General features: G+C 42.4%; 2 protein-coding genes across 6 annotated transcripts in view; one reads left to right on the top strand and one right to left on the bottom strand.

Annotated features, from left to right (window-relative positions):
- ZNF577 (zinc finger protein 577) overlaps positions 1 to 22,413 on the top strand; it is an 83,510-nt gene extending 61,097 nt beyond the window's left edge. For 2 of the 4 annotated variants that reach the window (NR_163433.1, XR_007067021.1), the window contains exons 10-12: positions 12,878 to 13,072; positions 15,181 to 15,382; positions 21,601 to 22,413. The gene's annotated coding sequence lies outside the window, so the exon portion shown is untranslated. Of the gene's footprint in view, positions 1 to 12,877; positions 13,073 to 15,180 lie in introns of all 4 variants that reach the window. The other 2 variants (XR_007067020.1, XR_007067019.1) reach the window with 2 other exon arrangements.
- FPR3 (formyl peptide receptor 3) overlaps positions 665 to 23,606 on the bottom strand; it is a 31,034-nt gene continuing 8,092 nt past the window's right edge. The window contains exons 1-2 of one of the 2 annotated variants that reach the window (XM_011526687.3): positions 9,020 to 9,188; positions 665 to 3,116 (exon numbers count right to left, since the gene is read on the bottom strand). In XM_011526687.3, coding sequence (XP_011524989.1) covers positions 2,045 to 3,106 — 1,062 coding nt within the window. In that variant the 5' untranslated portion in view covers positions 3,107 to 3,116; positions 9,020 to 9,188 and the 3' untranslated portion in view covers positions 665 to 2,044. Of the gene's footprint in view, positions 3,117 to 9,019; positions 9,189 to 23,606 lie in introns of those variants that run through there. The other variant, NM_002030.5, reaches the window with a different exon arrangement.

Raw genomic sequence — 23,606 nt, 5'->3', positions numbered from 1 at the left:
AGGCAGACTCAGTGCTTGAGGACCACTTTCCACTCTCCTATGATTGCCTTCCCAACCAGTCAGCAGCACCCATTCCCTAGTCTCCTGCCCACCAAACTATCTTTGAAAAACCATAATCTCTCAGCCTTGAGGGAAACTGATTTGACTGATAACTCCAGTTCATCCATGTGGCCAGCATCATGTTTACTGCAATACTGCATCTTTCTTTACTGCAATACTACAGTCTCAGTAAACTGGTTTTGTCTGTGCAGCAGGCAGGGAGAACCCACTGGGTGATTACAAAAGTTTGGTAATTGGGATGAAATGGCCAAATTCCTTGAATTTGAAAATCACAGTTTACCAAAAGTGAACAATGTGAAAAAGAAAACTGCCAGGTCTAATAATTGTTAAAGAAATCGAACCTATATTTAAAAGCCTTCCCAAAAAGCAAACCCAAGATCCAGTTGGCTTCACTAGCAAATTTTTCTAAATGTTTAACAAAGATATAATACCCGAGGATAGAATCAGAAAATCACTTCCAAACTCCTTTCAGGAAAACTAAGTTTTATGTAAAAGCTAACAAGGACAGTAGAGAAAAGTGAAATAACAGAGCCATCTCTACATAAACATAAATACAGAAATTCTAAACAAATCTGTGAGACAGATTATAAATGTTCAAAAACCATCATGAGCAAGCGTGGTTTATTTCATAAATGCAAGGGTAGCTTAACATTGAAAACTTAATCTAATTTATAATTATGTAAATGAAAGAATAAAAATAATATGATCACGTTAATATTTACAGAAACTGCATTTAATAAAATTCAACATTCATTCATGATTTAAACAATAAAAGAAAACTCTTAACAAATAAGAATAGAAGAAACCTTCAACAGTCTGACTTTAAAAAGAGAAAGCCCCAGAAAGCCTATGGCAAACATTTTACTTAATGGTAAGATAAAGTTTTTTTCTAAAAAAACACTATCTCATCTAAGCCTTACAAATATCCCCACTTTGTCTCTTCTCTTGTACTCTTTTCCCACTTCCACTTAGTCTCAGGATATAGGCTGAGGTCCAGACATGAAAAAATAACACCCACAGTGGCCTCATTATCTACTTCTTACCCTCAAATCAGGGGGCACAGAAGTATTTTCCCTGAGGAAATACTTGAGCCACTCATCCTGGAATGACTCAATGTGACCAAGGTTAAATGAAGTTAGGACTGGGATTAGGGTATCTGGTATTAAGATGTATGTTGGTTTTAGCCCATGGTTTCTGCTTCAGAACTCCCATAGCCCTTGCTACAGTCCTTTGTTATAATGTTGGGTGTATTAAGCCTCAGGAAACAGAATCTCTCTCCTTTCCTTTCATCTACCCCAAAGCAGGACTCTAATCTTCCCTTGCCTTTCTAATTGTGGGTCTTAAGACCCTCCCCAGAGAGGATCCCATCCTATACACTGGAGGAAAGAATGCTGACATCATGAAGCTTCCATAAAAACCCAAGAGGACTGGATTTGGAGAGCTTCATGAGACGTGAACACACGGAGGTTCCCAGAGGGTGATGCACTCAGGGAGGGCGTGGAACCCCGTACCTTGCCCTATGTGCCTCTTCATCTGTATCCTTTGTAGTATCTTTTATAATAAACCTTGCTTTTATAATAAACCAGCAAGCCGAAATAAATGTTTCTCTGAGTTCCATGAGCCACTCTACCCCCAAAGAGGGGGTAGTGGGAACCCTGATTGAAGCTGGTTGGTCCGAAGTTTCAGAAGCCTGGATTTGTGACTTGTGTCTCAACTGGAGGAGCAGACTTGGGGAATGAGCCCTTAAACCTGTGGGATCTGACAGTAGCTCCAGGTAGATAGTGTTGGAATTTAATTGTAGGACACCCAGCTGGTGTCTATTGCTTGGTTGTGGGAAAAACCCCCTACAGATTTGGTACAGACTTCCTTTATGTTGATGATTGTGGTGGTGGTGGTATGAAAGAGGAAGAAAAACACTGTCAGAATTTTTTTTTTCCGCTTAACGCAGGGTAGAAAGAGACAGAGCCCAAAAATATCCCCGACCTCACATTGCTTGTAACTCCGTCTCCTCAGGAGGTGAAGCAGAAGTGGTGTCTGTGTTGCTGGTCTGGGCTGAGTCAGGGACCTCAGTCAGGGCCCTCTCCAAACTAGTGGGCAAAGAGCGAATCAGTCTTTCTTGGAAGTTACGACCCATAAAGACGTAGAGAATTGGGTTGAGGCAGCTGTTAAAAAAGGCCAAGGAGCTTGTTGGGTTAATCAGGACAAGAATGATTTTGTATTTGCCATTTAACAACATCTCTTTGAGCCAGACTGCCATTAGAATGCCAATTAGTTCATAAGGGAACCAACAGATGAAGAAAGAAGCCACCACAGCAGCGAAGACACGTAAGGGACGGCTGGATTTAATCATGTGGTTTCTGTGAATTTTGGCAGCGATGATCCCATAGCAGACTGTGATGATGGACATAGGCACGCTGAAGCCAATAATGAAGTGGAGGATCAGAAAGACCTTGGCCATGGTAATGAACACGTTCAACCTCTCTACAGCAGTGTCACCCCAGAATGCAAAGTTGAAAATACAGTATGTGTCCCCATTCGTAGTACTTATTGTAGTCCAGAAGATGAAATTTGGTAAGGTAAGGACTATGGTGAAAATCCAGAGTCCCGTCATCACCCTCTTGGCCAGACTCATGGTGCGATGGTTCTGGGCCCAGGCTGGATGCAGGACACAAATACAGCGGTCCAGAGCAATGATGGTGATCAGGTAGACACTGACAAACAGGTTGATGTCTATCATAACATGAACTAACTTACATAGGAATGAGCCAAAAGGCCATTTTTCTCTCATGGCGACTGAGACCATTCGGAATGGTAGGATGGCACTGAAAGAGAAGTCAGCTAGGGCCAGGTTCAGGTAACAGATGGTGTTGACTGTGCGTGTCATCCGGAATCCAGCCACCCAGATCACAAGCCCATTGCCCAGGACCCCGAAGACAAAGGTGACTCCGTGGACTAGCAATGAGAAGATCCACAGAACGGTGTGGCCAGCAGGCTCAGGGAGCACCTCCTCAGTTTCATTCAGAGGAATGGAGAAGTTGGTTTCCATCTTCCCACACCTGAAACATTTCAGCAATGGCCATTTCTCAGCTGTGACACCATCTTACAATACAACTATTCATTAACTTCCACTGTAGCTCCTCCTCCTACCAGCAGACCCTCCCCAGTGAGCCTTGTGAATGGTTATAACATAAAATTGGCACTCTCTCGGAGTTCCTTTGGGAAACGATAGTTCTCTATATTCCCATCATTATTAATATGCATGCCACCTATCAAGCTGATTACCAAGAGGATTAAAGGGCTCTGTCCACCAGCGGAAATACTGAACTGAGAGTGTATGGACAATGGAAAATTGAGCATAGGCAGCTTCAGCTTCGTGAGGAAGGCACAAGACTCAGAGTCAGAAGGTTCACATCTGTGGCCTCCATCACTCAATGCAAACATGCTGGCAAGCTCTGCAACTTCTTTCGGCCCCATGCTCTCCCAGTCTCCCAGCTCCTGTCCCTCCCACTGTGAGGACCCTTGACCTATTTTTTAGTTGATATTTAATTTGAAGTTTTAGGGTTTGGATTGAGTTAGCTGAAGAGGATTTTGAACCATTACTTGTAATATATAGACATATATTACATGCTATAGGCCGGGCGTGGTGACTCATGCCTGTAACCCCAGCACTTTAGGAGGTTGAGGAGAGTGGATCACTTGAGATCAGGAGTTGGAGACTGGCCTGGCCAACATGGTGAAACTCCATCTCTACTAAAAATGCAAAAATTAGCCAGGTGTGGTGGCAAGAGCCTGTAACTCCAGCTACTTAGGAGGCTGAGGCAGGAGAATTGCTTGAACCTGGGAGGCAGAGGTTGCAGTGAGCCAAGATCGTGCCACTGCACTTCAGTCTGGATGTCAGAGTAGATTCCATTTCCCCCCACAAAAAAAAAGAGCAGAAATATATTACATCCTATAGATTCTGTGCTAGATGAAGTCAACAAAGAGGGCCCTATATTTACTTTCTCCCGTCTGCTTTTCATTGTCCCTACTTAGCATCCGTTGTATATCTTCAAGGTCTGTGGGATAAACAGAATGAGCATGAATATTTAGCTAGTATTTGTAGGGTTCTTATCAGAGACTATTCACTGTGTTAATTGCTACATATGGGTTGTAGTTTGGTCTGCATAGTAGCTCTGTAATATTCATTGTTTGTAGTTTCCACAGGAATGACTCAATGTTGAGAGCAATTGTGAAATCTGCTGGTCACTTAAGTAGGAAACAGTAGACAAAGATCTTTAATCTAGCTTAGTCTGACTTCTAAGCCCTTTCTCTATGCAACAATTCTGACAGATATTGCTGGTGATGCCCCCTCCCCCCACAAATAACTGTTCCTCATTTCTTCTCTGCAAATCAAATCGCAATTTTGTTCAGTTACTCACTCTTTTGGGGGAAGGTATCCCTCCTCCATCTTTGCGGGCATATCTTGATTTTCTAATTTGTTCTAACTAGAATTCCTTTTGCTTTGCAAGGGATTGCTTTATTGGTGGAAACATGACTAAATTCTGGGCAATAACACTATGGGAGGATATCCTGGCATCTTTCTGGGATCTATTTCCTTGCTTTTAAGAAACAGAATCACAAAATTACAGTCCCTGCCTCTGCACCAGGTCACATGGGAAGCTGTTGCATCCAACTCAACCCAAAGGTCTCTGTGTCCCTTGTGTCTTTGCCACTTGACCAAATTTGCTTATACTGTGGTCTGTGGGCTGTATCAGAAACATCCAAGGTATTTGTTAAAATGCATATTCATGAACCCAACTCTAGAATCTCTCTGTGTAAAAGCTACAGTGATTTTTATGGCCAGGAAAATTAGAGACTCTTCCTACCTTGGGATATCCAGCCTCTCTAAAAGTAACAGCAATTATACAGCACTTGTTCACAAATAATACTCATAATAACATTGTGGGCAGCCATCATTACCCCTTTTTGTACCAGAGGGAATTCATGGCCTTGGGGTTTTTGTAGGTTTTTTTTTTTCAGCATCATGTCCAGCCGGTCAGTGGAGGCAGCAAGATTTGAAATTCAGGATGAGCAACTTTAGAGCCACTACCGTTGCAACTCTAAAATGCTGCATTTGAAAGGAGTTCCCCAGATATTTCCAGCATGTGGTCATACCCTAGTATCATGGTTTTTTCCTCCTTTCCCTTTCTCTCTTCCTTCTTTTCTTCCTGTCATTACCAGTCACTTTCACTGAGGTCTTTCATGGGACATTGTTTAATGTAGCTCAAGGTTTCTCAACGTTGGCACTACAGACAATTGGGGCTGTGTAATTCTTTGTTGTGGGGGACTGTTCTGTGCACAGTAGGATATTTAGCAACACCCCTGGCCTCTATCCACCGATGCTAGTAGCAACTCCCCCTTCAGGAGTGACAACTGAAAGTGTCTATAGACATTGTCAAAGGTCCCGTGGGAGGCAAAACTCCCCCCAGTTGAGCATCACTGTTACAGAGTAAAGAACACTGGGCTTTGGGGTCAGTTAGATCGCTACTCTTATCGTTGGCACCTTGCCAATATGGGTTCTTGGTCAGTGATATCTCTTTGAGCCTCAGTTTTCTCCTCTGCAGAACAAGGACAGTTTTGTGGTGAAGTCTAACTTTCAGGTGAGGATTAAGTGAGACTGGACATGGAAATCTTCTAGGCTAGACTGAGTGTCTGTGACAAATGGGAACTTCTGGTCCTCACCAGGCTGTGTGCTGTGTCATGGGGCTCAATCCTGGGTCGTGCCTTTTGAAGCTCAAGGTCAGGACAAGAACAATGCTCATAGCAATAGTGGCTACTACTTATGAACATTACTCACATGCCAAGAGCTTCTCCTTTAACCCTAACAACTGCTCTCACAGCCTCTGCAGATGAGACGTGTTAATCTGTGTGAGCACTGAGCACACCTTGAGACACGGTGAATATTGACTAACCTTAGTTTTAATTAGTATAACCATTGTACACATGAGGAAGTTGACTTATATTGGTTACATTAATTATTTAAAGCCCCCAGTCAGAAAGGGGTAGAACCAGAGTTGGAGCTCAATCAGACTGATTTCAACAGAATTGTATGGTTAACCCTCTCCCATTCCCTAGTTCCTCAACAGACTCAGATTTTCTCTACCACTCTCCAAATATCCTAGAAGACATTCAGACAGTATGATGTATCAATAATCTCTAAGTCATTTGGAAATGTTGACACATTCCAACAATGTGCAGTGACAGGTGGGGACAGGCCAACAAGACAATGTTGTAAAATTTTGGATCCACCCTAGTTACAAAGTGGAGAAGAGAACCGTGGACCAGAGATGATACCTGTACTGATTATGAGGGCTGCTATTTGGTGCAATCCCAATGTGTATCAACCAATGTGTATTTTATTATTTCTAATTACAACATCCTTGCTCTGGGACAAATATTGTTCTTGTATAATCCATAGGAAACCATGGCTCAGAGAGGGGAAGTGACTTGTTCAATGTCACAATTATTGAGAGGTACAACTGGATGTATGATTACAGATTGGAATGTAATCTATAATGGAAACTCGGCACTTCCTTGTTAGCATCTGTGCTTCTCCAGCACGTGTGATTTCTGATGCATTAAAATAACATTCAGCCCTTCTGCTTTCTCCTCAAACTAACCAACTTCCTCTACTATTCCACTCTCAGCTGATGGCCTTGGCTGAATTTTAATGAGAAAACTGTAACAATTAGATGTGCATTTTTTAGCCTTTTCTTTCCTAACCCTCAATTTACGTGCCCTTGCTATTGTGAATAAAGACTTCTTTTTCCCAGTGACTTCCCTCTTTACATTTGCTTTCCATCCCACTGTCTCTCGTCTTCCCAAGAAATGGTATTTGTCCTTCTGCTTTCTGCTAAAAAGAAACCCTCAAGATTTGATTTCTACTAGATCCTTCTTGTTACCAAGTAACCATTATCCTATCCCTTCCCTTTAAAAAGAAACCAATCTTGGCCCATATTTCTTTCCAAGCTTCAACCCTATTTCTTTAAGAGAAGTGTTTTCTGTAAAGAGAATTCCTAGCCAAACTTTAGAAATGGTTGTCTCTAATTGCTTGCTTTTTTTTTCTCACCTCACCTATTCTGCTGAATCCATTCTATATTGACTTTAGTCCTTAGCACTCCAGCTAATGCACTCTCCTAAGGATACACATGACCTCCAGACTGCCAAATCCAGTGGACCTTTCTCAGTTTTTATCCTGATGTTCCAGTGACATAGGAACCACTGGATCTCTTTCTCCTACTTCAAACACATTTTTTTTCCATATCATAAGATGATAAGATGTACACACAATCCACTCTTGGTTGTCTTTACAGCTCAATTGGCCACCTCTTTTCAGTCCAGTTTTCTGCTCTAAATGTCTCTAAATTTAGGGTGTCCCACATTCTATAGGTGATATCATTCAGTATCACAGCTTAAAGTACCATGCTATCCTCTCATCTGAATTATTAGCACTGGCCTCCCCAGGAGCTCTAGTCTCATATAACCAATTGACTTCTTGATATCTCCCCTGCAGTCCCATAGACACTCCAAACCCAACATTGCCCAAACTAAACTGTTGCTTGTCCCTTCCTCCCAAACCTGCCATTCTTCCAATATTCTGTATCTATTTGGAGTTTAAATATTCAGTTATTAAAGCTCTAAATGTAGAACTCACCTTTCATTTTCCTTACCACCCAATACAATCCAAGTCCTATTGATTATATCTACAGAACATGCTGAATGCACAGCCAGAGCCATCTCCATCTCCACTACCCATGTCCATGGCCCTGTCAGGCTTGGATATTTGTACAAACTTTGCAGATAGTTTGTTCCTGGTCCTGCTATTCCCTCTGCTAAAATCCAGACACAGACAAATTATATTTCAAAAGGAAAAATAAGACAATGATGTTATTCTTCTCAGCACTCTTCTATGGCTTCCACATTTCTAACTCACACTTCTCAAGCACCCTGAGATTTGTCTTGTGTATCCCCAGACCTCATCTCTGCACTCTCACCTGACACACTGTGCTGGACCCATGGTGGACTCCTTGATTCCCTGACCATGCCAGCTTCTTGCCATTTCAGGGCTTTTGCTTTCTCTCTTCCTTCTGCCTACTATGATCTTCCTCTGGAGTTTTCCACACCTGGCTCTTTCTGAATATTTATATTTTAGCTTAAATATCTTGTCCTCAGAGGTATTCTCTTAACCCATTTGCAAAACAGCTGCCCCAGGTCCAGCCTATGTCACCAGATGCTTTTCTTATTTGTTTGTTCATTTATTTTCTATCATAAATACTTTCTGCACTGATATACAAACTCCACAAGTAGCACCTTCTTTCAGTGCTGTGTCTCTAGCATAGCACTGTCCAATGGAAACACAATGTGGTCTGTAAACACGGGCCGTGTTTGTGTCTTATAGTTTTCAGGTAACCATGTGTAAACAGAGTAGGAAACATTTGGGAAATTAACACCAATAATATATTTTCTTGAATCCTATATATCAAAAAGGGTATCATTGGAACATTTAATCAGAATAAAAATTATTAATGAGATACATGGCGTTCTTTTTTCATACTAAGTCTTAGAAGACATGAGATGCATTTTATATTTATAGCACACTTAAGGTTAAATGAGAAAAATAGCAAGCACTCAAAAGCTGTATTTGTCCTTGCGACAGTTTGCTGAGAATGATGGTTTCCAGCTTCGTCCATGTCCCTAAAAAGGACGTGAACTCATCATTTCCTAAAACTTAAAGTATAATAAAAGAAAAGTAAAGAAAAGAAAAAAGAAAAAAAAAAGACTGAAAAAACAAAACAAAACAAAAAAGCTGTATTTGGCAAGTAGATACTTCATCGCACAGCCCTGCTCCAGAGTTTAGGAAATGTCTGTCATACAGCAGGCATTCCAACAATAATTTTTAGATTGCCAGACCCCAACTTACCACTAGCTGAGTTCCTTTTCTTGTGGCCAGTCCCTGGCTTCCTGTCGAGCAACACAAGCTCCAAGGATTTGTCAAAAGACAAAATTACAACTAATTTAGTGTAAAGTTTTTATTGGCTTTATTCATAATTCTAGAATCAGACAACACCTCATCCCTCAAAACAGAATGCCTGTATTGATGAGTAGAACAGAGAAGTTTGATTTTATAGGGAGAGGAGGGCTAAAGAAAGCAGAAACAAAGAAAAAAAAGCTGAATGGTCATTTCAAAGTTGCTTTTTCCATACAGTGGGAATAGGGAAACAATAATTTAAAAAAAAAAACAAAACAGATTGACTGACATGGTTACTTACGTTACTTCTTTTGTAAGGATTAAAGCAGAGGCATTTTCATGGCTACTGAAAGTGACCTGTTTGGGAATTTGGCTATTTTCTCTCTCTCTCTCTCTCTTTATGATTTCTTGGAAAGCCAGATAAACAACTTAGTTTTTGGTTTGGTGACATAGAACTTTAGTATGAGTGACTCTATTTTGGTTTTGTTTGTTGAGTGTAGTACAGTAGCTCAGTTTAAACCAATGGTGTCCTGTGATTTTTACATAATAGGCTTCAGCAGAGACTTTGCTGAAGGACAAGGGAACAATGGAGCTGGAATCAATCCAGTGACAGAAACTCAGGGTTTCTTACCATTCCCAGAAGACACCTTGGAGATGTCATCAAACTACTCATCTTAGAAACCTATGTGTCTGAATGTTCCTTCACCTCTAACCTTCTGTGGGAGACTGGAGTTCATCCCTCCAAATAACAAGGGTCAAGGAATATGAGAGTCCAGGCCCTTTCTTCTTCAGAGATTCAGGGAAATGAAACAAAAAATTACCAAGGTGAAAAAATGAGAGGAAAACAATAAACAACAAAGATGTATGATTAAGCAAAAACTCACTTCTCTATTTACACACATACTTCTAACAGCATATGTGTGGGCTTTTTTCCAAACAGAGCAAGTCTCCAATTCTCTGGAGACACCACTGTCTATCCTACAATGAAATTCAGTTCTGATGCTGTCTAACTGGAGATAGCATCAGATCGCACAAGTTAAAGGTCTCACTCCCACAAGACTGTCTTCACTTCAGATACCAATGCAAGTCCCATGTGGCCACCTGTACTTCTGACTGATGGGCTATAAATCAGGGGTTCCTGTGACCCCCTCATCAGCTTTGTAATTTGCTAGAATGGCATGCAGAACACAATAAATCACTTTGCTTTCATTTATTGGTTTATTCTAAAGAGTACATCTTAGGCCAGGCATGGTGGTTCACGCCAGTAATCCCAGCACTTTGAGAGTCTGAGGCTGGTGGATCACTTGAGGCCAGGATTTGGAGACCAGTCTGGCCAATGTGGCAAAACCTTGTCTCTACTAAAAACACAAAAATTAACCGGGTGTAGTGGCACATGCCAGTAATTCCAGCTACTGAGGAGGCTGAGGCACGAGAATCATTTGAACCCAGGAAGAAGAGGTTGTAGTCAGCCGAGATCATGCCACTGTACTCCAAGCCTGGGCAATAGAGTGAGATTCTGTCTCAAAAAAAAGGAGAAAAGAATACAGCTCAAAAACAGTCAAAATAGATGCATAGGGCAAGTATATAGCAAGGGAGAGGTTGAGGTGGTACATGGAGCTTCCATGCTCTCTCTTCAGGCACTCAGCCTTCCGGCACCTCTTTGTGTTCACCAACTCAAGAAGCTCATCTAATCTCATTTCTCAAGGGTTTTTTTTTTTTTTTTAATAGGATCTCACTCTCTTCCCCAGTCTGGGGTGTAGTGGTGCAGTCACAGCTCACTGCAGCCTCAAACTCCTGGGCTCAAGTGATCCTCCCACCTCAGCCTCCTGAGTTGCTGGGACTGTAGGTACCTGGAACCATGCCTGGCTAATTTCTTTTCTTTTCTTTTTCTTCTTCTTTTTCTTTTTTCTTTTTTCTTTTTTTTTTGAGACAGGGTCTCATTCTATCACCCAGGCTGGAGTCTAGTGGCATGATCGCTGCTCACTGTAACCTCCACTTCCCTGGGCTCAAGGGATTCTCCAGCCTCAGCCTCCTAAGTAGTGGGGACTACAGGCGTGAGATACCACGCCTGACTAATTTTTTGTACAAACAGGGTTTCGCCATGTATCCTAGACTGGTTTCAAACTCCTGGGCTTAAAGCGATCTGCCCACCTTGGCCTCACAAAGTGCTGGGATGACAAGTGTGAGCCACCGTGCCTGGTGTCTACCTTTTTTTTTTTTAGACAGAGTCTCACCCTGTCCCTCAGGCTGGAGTGCAGTGGCGGGATCTTGGCTCACTGCAACCTCCACCTCCCAGGTTCAAGCAGTTCAAGCAATTCTCCTGCCTCAGTCTCCTGAGTAGCTGGGGCTACAGGCGCACATCACCATGCCTGGCTAATTTTTGTATTTTCAGTAGAGATAGAGTTTCATCATGTTGGCCAGGCTGGTCTCGAATTCCTGACTTTGAGATCCACCCACCTCGGCCTTCGAGAGTGCTGGGATTACAGGCATGAGCCACTGCACCCAGCCAACATTTTTTTATAGAGCTCAATCTCCAGTCCCCACTTCCCCTTCCTGAAAGTCAATGGGTGGGGCTGAAAGCTCCAACCCTCTAGTCACTTGATTTTTGTGGTGGTCAGCCCTAACCTGAGCCTATCAAGGGACCTCGCCCTAAATAACCTCACTAACATAAAATGAGATGTGATAAAAGGTGGCTCGCGCCTGCAATCCCAGCAATTTGGGAGGCCGAGGTGGGCGGATCATTTGAGGTCGGGAGTTCAGGACCAGCCTGGGCAACAAGGTGAAACCCCGCCTCTACTAAAAATACGAAAATTAGCCAGACGTGGTGGCAGGCGGCTGTAGTCCCAGCTACTTTGGAGGCTGGGGCAGGAGAATCTCTTGAACCCAGGAGGTGGAGGTTGCAGTGAGCTGAGATGGCGCCACTGCACTCCAGCCTGTGGGACAGAGTGAGACTGTGTCTCAAACCAAACCAAACAAACAAAAAAAGTGGTTTTTAGGCCGAGTGCAGTGGCTCATGCCTGTAATCCCTGCACTTTGGGAGGCCGAGGTGGGCAGATCACCCGAGTCAGGAGTTCAAGACCAGCCTGGCCAACATGGCGAAAACCCATCTTTACTAAAAATACAAAAATTAGCCCAGCAGAATGGCACATGCCTGTAGTCCCAGCTGCTCAGGAGACTGCGGCAGGAGAATCACTTGAACCCAGCAGATGGAGGTTGCAGTGAGCCGAGATCACACCACTGCACTTCATCCTGGGTGACAGAGCTGGACTCTGTCTCAAAACAAAAAAACAAAACAAACAAAAAACAAAAACCTTGAGAGGTGAGGCAGATGCATGAGAGAGTACCCGTTATCCAATATCATTACCAAGATTAACCCCTTAACCTTCTGCTCCAGAGGGAGATAATTTGTGGGACCTGCAACGCAGCTCTAAGGATTAGTTAATAGACAAAATTACAACAAATTTAGTTCAAATATCTTAATCTGAGAAGAGTTAAAGGTCTAAATCGGAGGAGATGGGCCCTTTCTGAGATTTTAAGCAACATCAGGACATTGTCCTCCGGCTGAAACAACACAACCATGAAGACAAGTGGAGACGCAGAAAACAGGAGTCAACTATTTTTTCTTTTCTCCCCGAATCACTATACCAAAGGATGTTTTCAGTGATAAAGTATAGTAAACATATGAAGCACATAAACCAAGAAGGAATTTACTATTACAAAAAGTTTTGCAAGGAGATAGAATCTGAGTCTAAATAAAAATTGGTTTTCATTTAAGCCCTTTGCTTCACCATCCTATTGGCTTTCTTCCAGGGGCTTCTTGAAAGTGACCACAGAATGGCTGCCACTGTTCTGGACATCACATCAACGGGCCCTCCAGAGCCAGAAGGATGAAGATAAACAAAAAAACTGGCTTCATTCACATGCCTGTCTCATTTTATAAAGGAGGAAAACATCGGCCAGCTGCGGTGGCTTATGCCTGTAATCCCAGCACTTTGGGAGGCCGAGGTGGGTGGATCACGAGGTCAGGAGATCGAGTCCATCCTGGCTAACACAGTGAAAACCCATCTCTACTAAAAATACAAAAGCAAAATTAGCTGGGCGTGGTGGCAGGCACCTCTAGTCCCAGATATTCGGGAGGCTGAGGTGGGAAAATGGCGTGAACCCGGGAGGTGGAGCTTGCAGTGAGCCGAGATCACGCCACTGCACTCCAGCCTAGGTGACAGAGTGAGACTCTGTCTCAAAAAAAAGGAAAACATCCCATCCTCCTTTATAAAGACTCCTTCAGAGTCTCTTCAGGACCTGTCCTTATCTTTCACCACTGAAACATGACATCCTTAGATCATTCCCTGGGCCAAAAATAAAAATAAAAATAAAAATATAAATGAGGTTGCTCATACCAAGGTGATGGTATTAAAAGGTGGAGGTTTTCAATTATGATTGTTCTGCCCTCATAGGTAGGATGAGTGCCTTATAAGAGTCCTATAGGCACTTGTCTTTCCCTTTTACCATGTGAGGACTCATAGAAAGCACTGTCTGTGAGTAATGGCCCTCACCAGATACTGCATCTGCTAGCACCTTGATCTTGGACTTTACAGCCCCCAGAACTGTGATCAATAAATTTATGGGGTGTGTGTGTGTGTGTGTGTGTGTGTGTGTGTGTGTGTGTGTTGAGACAGAGCATCACTCTGTCACCCATGCTGGAGTGCAGTGGCGTGATCTCGGCCCATTGCAACCTCCATCTCCAGGGTTCAACCAATTCCCTTACCTCAGCCTCCCCAGTAGCTAGAACTACAGGTTCACCACCATGCCTGCTAATTTTTGTATTTTTGGGTAGAGACAGAGTTTCACCATGTTGGCCAGGCTGGTCTCAAACTTGTAACCTCAGGTGATTCACCCACCTCAGACTCTCAAAATGCTGAGATTACAGGCATGAGCCCCCACGTCTGGCCTAAATTTATGTTGTTTACAAATTATCCAGCATAATAAATTTTGTTATAGTACCTTGAATGGACTAAGAGACGAATTAAATGACTGTAATGTGTGTATCAAGTGAATCTTCTTAGAGGAGGTTGTCCTCAATGTAATGCTGCACCTGTGCTTATGGAGACTGTGGATGTCATTAAGCTCCTGTCTGCAAAGCTTGTGTGTGATGCCAAAGCTATGAGGGTACCCCTAGGTAGCCTGGAAAGGTGTATTGTGTTTCTTCAGAGGTGGAGGCAACTGTAGCTGAGGGTCTGTAGAAATAAGCACTTAACAGAACATGCTAGCCAAATGAATGAGAGCAAAATGTTTACCAGTTCTTGATTGAATAGTATTAGCAATTTTTAATAATATTAGATGTTAGATATGGGGGCCCTGATAGATGGGACTACAGCCTTAGTGCTGTAGTCATCCATCATAAGACATTCTTTGTGATATTTTTTATTTTCAGATATGGGAACAAGAAGCACTTTGGGCTGTTAAGTGGAGATGCAATGTGGATAGTCACCCTTTTATTAATCACGTTTTGTTTAACAAATTTTAATTATTGAAGGCCATTATTTCACCCTACGTTGGGCCATATTAACTATCTTAACTGGGGGACTAAGTGATCCCATTTTATCAAGCCAATCTCTAAGTGCAAACAATTTACTTTAATTTTAATGTATTATTTATTATGTCTACCTCCAACATATTCTGTTTTAGAGCAACCTACCTCCAACATAGGCTATTTTAGAACAATAGGTATGACTATGGGTAATTTAGGCAAGGCTGTAGTTAAAGCGAGGTATACTCATTTTTCAAAATTTTATATGTAGTTGCCTTCTCAAGACAATATGGGCAAAGTGAGTACATTTAGTGGGATCCTTGCAGGGAGCCGAAGACCCCATGGGATATGACCAACTCATCATTCCACTGGAGGCTATATGATCAAACAGCAAACTGTTTATCATGAATGCAGGATGTGGGCAAACTCACGACTACTCCCACTGCCAGAGGGTTTGCTGAGGGCGAGTCGCCTCCTGGTGCCGAGCTCCTTGTCCACTAGAGGCAAGGTGCCCCCTAACTCCTTCTTCCAGAGATACTCTTTTGTCTCTTGTCTTTTATTCCCGTGTTCATCCCCCTTTGTTCAGTCCACCAGGGATCATGGCACGTTACATAGTGGTGCCCCGAACAGCGACAGAATCAGGGGCTCTACAAGTGGCACTCAAACAGGCGACAGTCTGAACACGGGACTATGAGGATGTGAATGAAGAAGATCTCCTGGAATAGAGGAACTGAAATTGACAACGCAAATGGGGACCCTGGGATGAGTCAGCTGGCAGCGCACATGAGGTCAGCGCCTAAAGAGGTACTGGGATCAGTTCCTTAAAGAAGTACTGGGAATGGGAAGTTTTCTGAATCACGGTAACATGGGGCAGAATTCGTCTACTGAAAAAAATAATTATGTGCAGTTGCTTAGAGTTCTGTTGAAACAAACTGGTGCTCAGGTTAGTTCTCAGACATTAACTTAGCTGCTGCAGGAGGTTATTACACATAACCCATGGTTTCCACAGGCAGCACCCTTGATGTGGAAAATTGGGACAGAGCAGAAGGATTAAAATGGGCTCATCAAAAAGGTCTTAAAATTGATCCTTCTGTTTTCTCCACTTGGAGTTTAGTTCATACTGTACTTCTGCCATTATCTCCTTATTATTCTGTGGGACAACAGGCTGAATCTAAAAATCTGAAAGAATCTGTTGTCCCACTCACAGCTCCAGATGAAAATAAAAAACAGGAGAGGGAGGATAAAAATTGGCCTATACAGCCTCCTCCAGTTGCAGAAACATCTGTATTGCCTCCTTTGGTAGCAGAACTAGAGACCCCAATACAAAGAATTTTATGCTCTGCTGCCATAGCTGGAGAGCCCCTAGGACCTTGCACTTTTCCTATTTCCATAAGGCCTGATCCCAACAATCCACAGCAGGTTATTCATGAACACACCCCACTAGAGTAAGTTGTTGAAGGAATTAAAAGCGAGAGTGGTAAATAATGGCATACAGAGCCGGTTGACCTTAGGATTGCTAGAATCTGTGTTTGGTGCTATGCGTTTTTTACCCTTTGATGTGAGACACTTGATGCGAACTTGCTTGTCCACTAGTGCATATCTGACATGGAATTTAAATTGGCAAGAAATGTGTGCAGACCAGGCTAAACAGAACCATGTTGCTGGACACGGAGACATTACAGAGGATATGCTATTAGGTAATGGCCCTTATTCAGACCTGGAAAGTCAAATGGCACTCCCAGACGCTGCTTATCAGCAGTGTGCACAGGCTGTTAAATGCACCTGGGCCGCAATTCCTGAAGAGGGAGTCCCAGTACAATCCTTTTTACATATGCAAGGGTCACAGGAACCCTATGTGCAATTTCTTACAAGATCACAAGAGGCAGTGAAGCGTCAGATTCCTCATACCACGGCTGCAGAAATGCTAACCTTAACTCTAGCTTTTGAGGATGCAAACGCGGATTGTAAACATGCACTGGCACTGGTGAGGTGTATAAAAAACTTGGGAAGTTTTCTCAGAGCTTGTCAAGATGTAGGAACTGAGCTTCATCACTTTGCAATATTAGCGCAAGCAGTGGCTAATTTAGCAGTTGACAAATCTAAAAGGAGCCAAGGGTCAAACCCTAAAGTGGGAAAATGTTATAATTGTGAAAAACCTGGACATTTTAAAAAGGAATGCCGCCAGATCTCAGTACAGAAAGGACCTTACAATGCAGTGCCCCACCCAGTGGAAAAAATGCCAGGACTTTGTCCTTGCGTAACAGAGGAAATAACTGGGCTAATCAGTGCCGCTCAAAATTTCATCAGAATGGCACCCCCCTGCTGGGAAATGAGATGGGGGCCTGGACCCAGGCCCCACAAACAATGAGGGCATTCCCAGTCCAGACCTCAACCCCGTTCCAGGCATGGGTTCCCAGAGGCACATTGATTCCCTCACCCCAGGAACACAAGGAGTGCAGGATTAGATCTCCCAGTCAAAGAATGGGTAATGTTAGTTGGGGCAGACAAACCCATCAAAGTTCCCACTGATATTTGGGGACCTTTATCAGCAGGATATGTGAAACTAATTTTAGGCAAAATCTGCCTTAACTTACAGGGCATTACTGTAGTCCCAGAAGTTGTTGACTCTGATTATGAAGGAGAAATTCAAGTAGTTTTAATGTCACAAGATCTTTGGGTTTTGAGCTGGGACAATATACTGCTCAATTATTGCTTATTCCCTGCAAATCACACCCTTCTCCATGAAAGGAGAAATGAGAAAATAAAGAGGTTGGGAGCACAACTACATGAGAAATCTATCTATCCCAACCCATAGCCTCTAATAGACCTACCTGTGTAGTACACATTAAAGGAAAGAAATTTTATGGGCTTATGGATACGGGAGCTGATGTGTCAGTCATATCTAAAGACAGTTGGCCCCCATCCTGGCCCTTGCAATTAACTTCTACATCCCTAGTGGGAGTAGGAACAGCTCAAAGTGTTCAACAGAGCACTGAGATTTTACCTTGTCTTGGTCCAGATGGACAGTCATGTACTTTTCAGTCTTATGTTGAAAATATAGCTATCAATTTATGGGGTTGAGACTTACTTATAACATGGAATATGAGACTTACAAATGAAAACTTTGATAACCCAGGATTTAAAATGTTGAAGAACATGAGATATCAGAGGGGAAAATGTTTAGGAAAATTTCTTCAAGGAAATCCTAACCCAATATCAGTAACTGGAAAAACAGATAGAAAAGGGCTAGGACGTCAGGATTTCTGACGAGGGTCATTGATATTTCTCCTCTGCCCACTGCCTCACTATTAGAATGGCTCAGTGACAAACCCGTGTGGGTGGATCAATGGCCCCTATCTCAGGAGAACCTGATGCAACTTCAGCAGCTAGTAAAAGAACAATGGGATGCCGGACACATAAGCTTGGAATTCTCCAGTGTTTGTTTTTCCAAAAAAGTCCGGAAGATGGCGACTACTACATGATTTAAGAGCTATTCATGTACACATAAAACTGATGGGTGCCTTACAAAAACTTTCACCATCTCCAGCGGCTATTCCAAGAGACTGGCCTCTTGTAGTAATAGATCTTAAGGATTGTTTCTTTACTACACCCTTACACGAGAAGGATAAGCCTTGATTTGCATTCTCTGTGCCTTCTATTAATCAAAGAGAACCTGTTTCTCATTATCAATGGAGAGTTTTACCCCAAGGCATGCTTAACAGTCTTACGCTATGTCAGCATTTTGTAGGACAGGCATTAAAGAAGCCTCGGAATATGTTTCCTACTGCTTACATCATTCATTATATGGATGATATTCTTTTGGCTGCTCCTACAGATCAAAACCTACATCAGTTATTCAGAGAAACAAAGCAGGCTTTGACTAAATGGAATCTCAAAATAGCTCTAGAAAAGGTACAAACAACTTCCCCATACCAATACTTAGGAACTATTGTTACAGAGAGAAGTGTATGGACTCAGAAAGTAGTTCTCCATAAAGACAGGTTATAGACTTTAAATGATTTTCAGCAGTTATTAGGAGATATTAATTGGCCATGACCGATGTTAGGTATTGCTACCTATCAACTTACACATATTTACCAAACCCTGCACGGAGATTCTTTAAATTCCCTGCAGCAACTAACTAAAGAGGCAGAAGCCAAATTACAGCTTGTAGAGCAAATGTTACAGCAGAGACATGCCTCATGGCTACAACCACAAAAACCTTTGCTTTTGTTTATTCTTCCTACCCCCTACTCTCCAACAGGACTTTTGGGCCAGTTTATAGACTAGTCTGTAACAGTAATAGAATGGTTCTTTCTATCTAATCAAACAGTCAAAACCTTGCAAGTTTATCTTTCTTTAATTACACAAATTGTGACTATGGGCAGGCATAGGTCACAAATGCTTACAGGATATGATCCTGACAAAATTATTGTTCCTTTAGACTCTCAGCAACAAGCTGCAGCTTGGGAAATGTCGACTGCCTGGCAAACTGCTTTCGCAGACTTCATGGGCGTGATAGATAACCACTACTCTCAGACAAAATTTTACAGTTTTATAAAATCCATTCTTTCATTCTTCCTGTGATTACTCATCACAAACCTATTCCAGGTGGACAGACTTATTTTACTGATGGCTCTTCCAAAGGTCATGCTGCCATCTATGGACTAAAACATACTCAAACAATAAGGATCTCTGGGGTTTCAGGTCAATGCTCAGAGCTAGTTGCAGTCAGCTGTGAGGTTTTACAGCTCACAGCTTCAGATCCTATCAACTGCAGGGACCCGAAGGCCCATGGGACGTGACCAACTCAGCATTCCACTGGAGGCTATATGATCAAACAGCAAACTGTTTATCATGAATGCAGGATGTGGCAAACTCACACTGCGCTGCCACCAAAAGGTTTGTGGAGGGCCTCACTCCCTGGCTCCTTGAAGTTATCTATTGAGAGTTATCTATTGAGAAATCTAGCGCCTACTGTTTTAAGAATGCAGTCTTGCAAGCCTGCTGTGAATCAGGCTGCTAGCCAGCAACCACCCCCCCCACTTCCTGCTATCTCTTTTGCCTGATAAATACGGAGGGCTGTGTAAAGCTCAGGGCCATTGTCCACTAGAGGCAAGCTGCCCCCTGACCGCTTCTTCCAAATATACTCTTTTATCTCTTGTCTTTTATTCCCACGCTCGTCCCCTTTGTTCAGTCCATCAGGGATCGTGGCAGGCTACAATCAACATTGTCAACCATAAAGACAGGTTACAGACTTTAAATGATTTTCAGCAATTATTAGGAGATATTAATTGGCTACGCCCGATGTTAGGTATTGCTACCTATCAACTTACACATCTTTACCAAACCCTGCAAGGAGATTCTTCTTGTTCAGCTTATGTTGTAAATTTAGCCATTCGCATAGAAACTGCTACAGTTAAAAGTACGCTAGACCCAGAACTGCTTAATTTGTTTCACTTATTCTCATATGCTGCATGGTACATGCCAAACAGGTGAGACAGCTGGTCATGTACAGCGACATTGTCTGTCATCATTTGCTCATATGGGAATACCTAAACAATTAAAAATTGACAATGGACCTGCTTATACTAGTCATGCTTTTCAAAATTTCCTACAGCTTTGGGCTATAACCCATAAAACAGGAATTCCTTATAATCCTAGAGGACAAGGCATTATAGAATGGGCACATCAAACATTACAACGAATGTTGAAAAGACAAAAAGGGGGTATAGGAGGCCAACTACCACCTCAATCAAAACTACATTTAGCCTTATTTACTTTAAAATTTTTGACTCCTGGTACGGATGGTAAGACTCCAGCAGAAAGACATTGGCAAGTGTTAGAGGAAAAGAGGAAAGTTTATCTGAAAGTGTTATGGAAATCCCCAGAAGAAGGACAATGGAAAGGCCCGGTGGATTTACTGACATGGGGAAGAGGGTATGCTTGTGTGTTTACAGGAGATTGACAAGCCATGTGGGTGCCCTCAAGGTGCTTGCAACCCTGGAATGGGAGACTGGAGAAACATGGGGTGGCCAACCATGGGCCCAGTCCCTCCGGTACGAGCCATGAGTCAGCTGAGCCTGAGTGCAAAGATGGAGAGAAGGCCGACTGGAGTCACGACACAGTCTTAATGTTACATTTGTAAAGAATATCACCACTCAATTTGTGGTTTGTGTTTTTAATCCTTATGTCTTTTTGGCAGCTCAGAAGGACCAGCTCCAGGTAAACAATACCCAGTTGACCTGTAAATCTTGCCAGTTATATCACTGCATTAATCATAGCACATTGCGAACACATAATATCTCGACTTTGATGATTTTAGGTTGCATCCCTGGGCTAGGGATTCCTGTTAATCTGTCCGAGGCTTGGGCTGCCACACCTGCTTTGCATTTTGTGAAACTTCTTCTACTTCAGGTTACTTATTGTGCCCGTAGAGCCTTAGGCATGATAATTTTTGCTATCGTTTCCTTGGTCACACTAATAACTTCTGTTGTGATGTCCTCTGTAACTTTGCATAGTTCTGTTCAAACGGCTCAGTACGTAGAGAATTGGACACGTACAGCCAACCAAGCGAGGCTACTTCAGAATAAAATTAACACTGAGTTACAAACTGAAGTGGCAATGTTGAAATCCATGGTTCTGTGGTTAGGGGAACAAGTATAAAGCTTGCAGTTGCAGCGGCAATTGCGCTGTCATTTTAATCACACTCGTATTTGTGTAACCAACTTAGAATATAACAAAAGTGAGTATCCGTGGGACCTTGTGAAAGCCCATTTGCAAGGAGCTTTCACATCCAACATCACCTTTGATATTAGTGAATTACAAAACAAAATTCTTGATTTAAATAGGCACACTCAAGAATTTCAGCCTTCTTTAGAAGACTGGACTGAATTCCAGGAAGGCCTGGAGAGCCTCAACCCTTGGACCTATCTAAAGTACCACAGTAACATCTTATATGTAGTTCTTGGAGTAATGTTGTTTTGTCTCTGTCTTCTGTTTATAGTCTGTAAAATCGGATGGACCGCCAATCGGAGAATGAGAGCTGCCCAGCCTGGTCTTACATTCTTTCAATTAATTCATAAACAGGGGGATATGCAGGGAGCCGAAGGCCCATGGGACGTGACCAACTCAGCATTCCACTGGAGGCTATATGATCAAACAGCAAACTGTTTATCATGAATACAGGATGTGAGCAAACTCACGACTGTGCCTGCCGCCAGAAGGTTTGCTGAGGGCAATCGCTTCCTGACGCCAAGCTCTTTGAAGTTATCTACTGGAACATCTAGAGAATGCAGTCTTGCAAGCCTACTCTGGACCAACCAACTGACCTCTTCTTCCACCCCCCTTCTCACTATCGCTTTTCTCTAATAAATACAGAGGGCCGTGTAAAGCTCAGGGCCTTGTCCACTAGAGGCAAGGTGCCCCCGGACCCCTTCTTCCAAATATACTCTTTTGTCTCTTGTCTTTTATTCCTGCATTCACCCCCCTTTGTTCAGTCCACCAGGGATCATGGCAGGTTACATAGTGGCGCCCCGAACAGCCACAGAATCGGGTGCTCGATAGATCCTCATATATAACTATAATTTGAGCCCCAATGTAAAGTCCATAAATTTTTGTCAATTTGAGCATTTTTGCTGTTGTTGAAGTTAAGTTAGTACCTATGTTGTAAAGGCACAAAACCAAATCAGTGCCTTTTTATCCTTTTGTTACATAATTTTTTTGGTATAAAAATTAATATATGAATTTTGAATTCCCAATCAAATCAAATTGTAAAACTTTGTTTTGATGCGGTTATATATTAAATGTACATAATTCACCTATTTGTCCTATGTTTACATTAAAATATTATATACATATATACATATGATGTATTTAATTTCCTTTTTATCACCCTCCCATTAGAAGTTTGTTCATAAATCAGTAAGTATTCCAGGGCTAGGATTACGTTTCCTAGATCTGGATTCTGCCCAGTACTTAAATTTAAAGTTCCTCTTTTTTTTTTCTTGTACTCGTGACTGTGGTGTAGAACTGGAAACTGTGTCAAGGGTGACTGAGCCCTGAGCCTCGTATGAGAAAATTAAGCTTGTATTTAGACTGGATGCCGAGGCAACAGACCCTTATAAGCATTCACTGCAGTGAAGAAGGGTGATTAATGTTGGTTAGGCAGCTGTCAGTCTTGGCCAGAATTATGCCTTCAGGTACTCAAGATCCCTTTACACTCTTCTTCCAAATAGAAGAAGTAGAGCCATCCTTCCCAAGGATGAGATCCCCAACGTTTTATGTTGAAGTTTCTTTGTGATAAGTGTCCCATAACTTAAAAGAATACTTAGCTTCAAAGCCCCAATATACCACGATGCAATGAGAATTGGGAATCCACAATGGAAACTCCTAATGAGGAAAAGAAAAAAGGGAGATGTAGCGGACACTGTTCTACTGCAATTAACCAAGGCCAGTGGGAAGGAAAGGTAAGAATCCCCTGTCCTGGCAGTAGAGGGAGTCTATTAATTAGCCCATCTGGAAGCCCTGGCTCTCCTATCTAGAGGTCTCACGCTGTCCTTCGTGGCTCCTGACTTTCTGTCTTGCATTTTTTTCATTGTTCCTCATTTTCTATGGCCACAACTTAGTTGGGCATTAAAGAATATACATTTTTTTTTTTTTTTTGGAAATTGAAAGCATTTATAGGAGTCAAAAGTGTGAATGAAATGGTCAAACTGCTCTGCCTTGGAAATGCACAGAACTCTAGAGAAGACGAGAAGAATGAGTAAAGCAGTGGAGTGAGAGAGGACATTGATAACAGGATTCCTTGGTATTCATGTTGAGTGGTGTCTTTTGCCAGTGCATCAGGAAAGTATGTTACACAATACAAAATTGACAATTTCTGAGTGTTTTTGTGGAGAAAGCAAGGTAAAGGGCTGAGTTATGAGTTTATTTATTTAAATACAAAGTCATTAGGCAGTTGTTAGTGAGAGTACTGTATTGAAGTGGAAACTCAAAATTTAAGGTGTTCAT

This window comes from Homo sapiens, chromosome 19 (assembly GCF_000001405.40).
Source record: "Homo sapiens chromosome 19, GRCh38.p14 Primary Assembly".
Taxonomy (NCBI): Eukaryota; Metazoa; Chordata; class Mammalia; order Primates; family Hominidae; genus Homo; species Homo sapiens.
The sequence above is the reverse complement of the archived record's forward strand: the minus strand, read 5'-3'. Positions and strand labels throughout refer to the sequence as shown.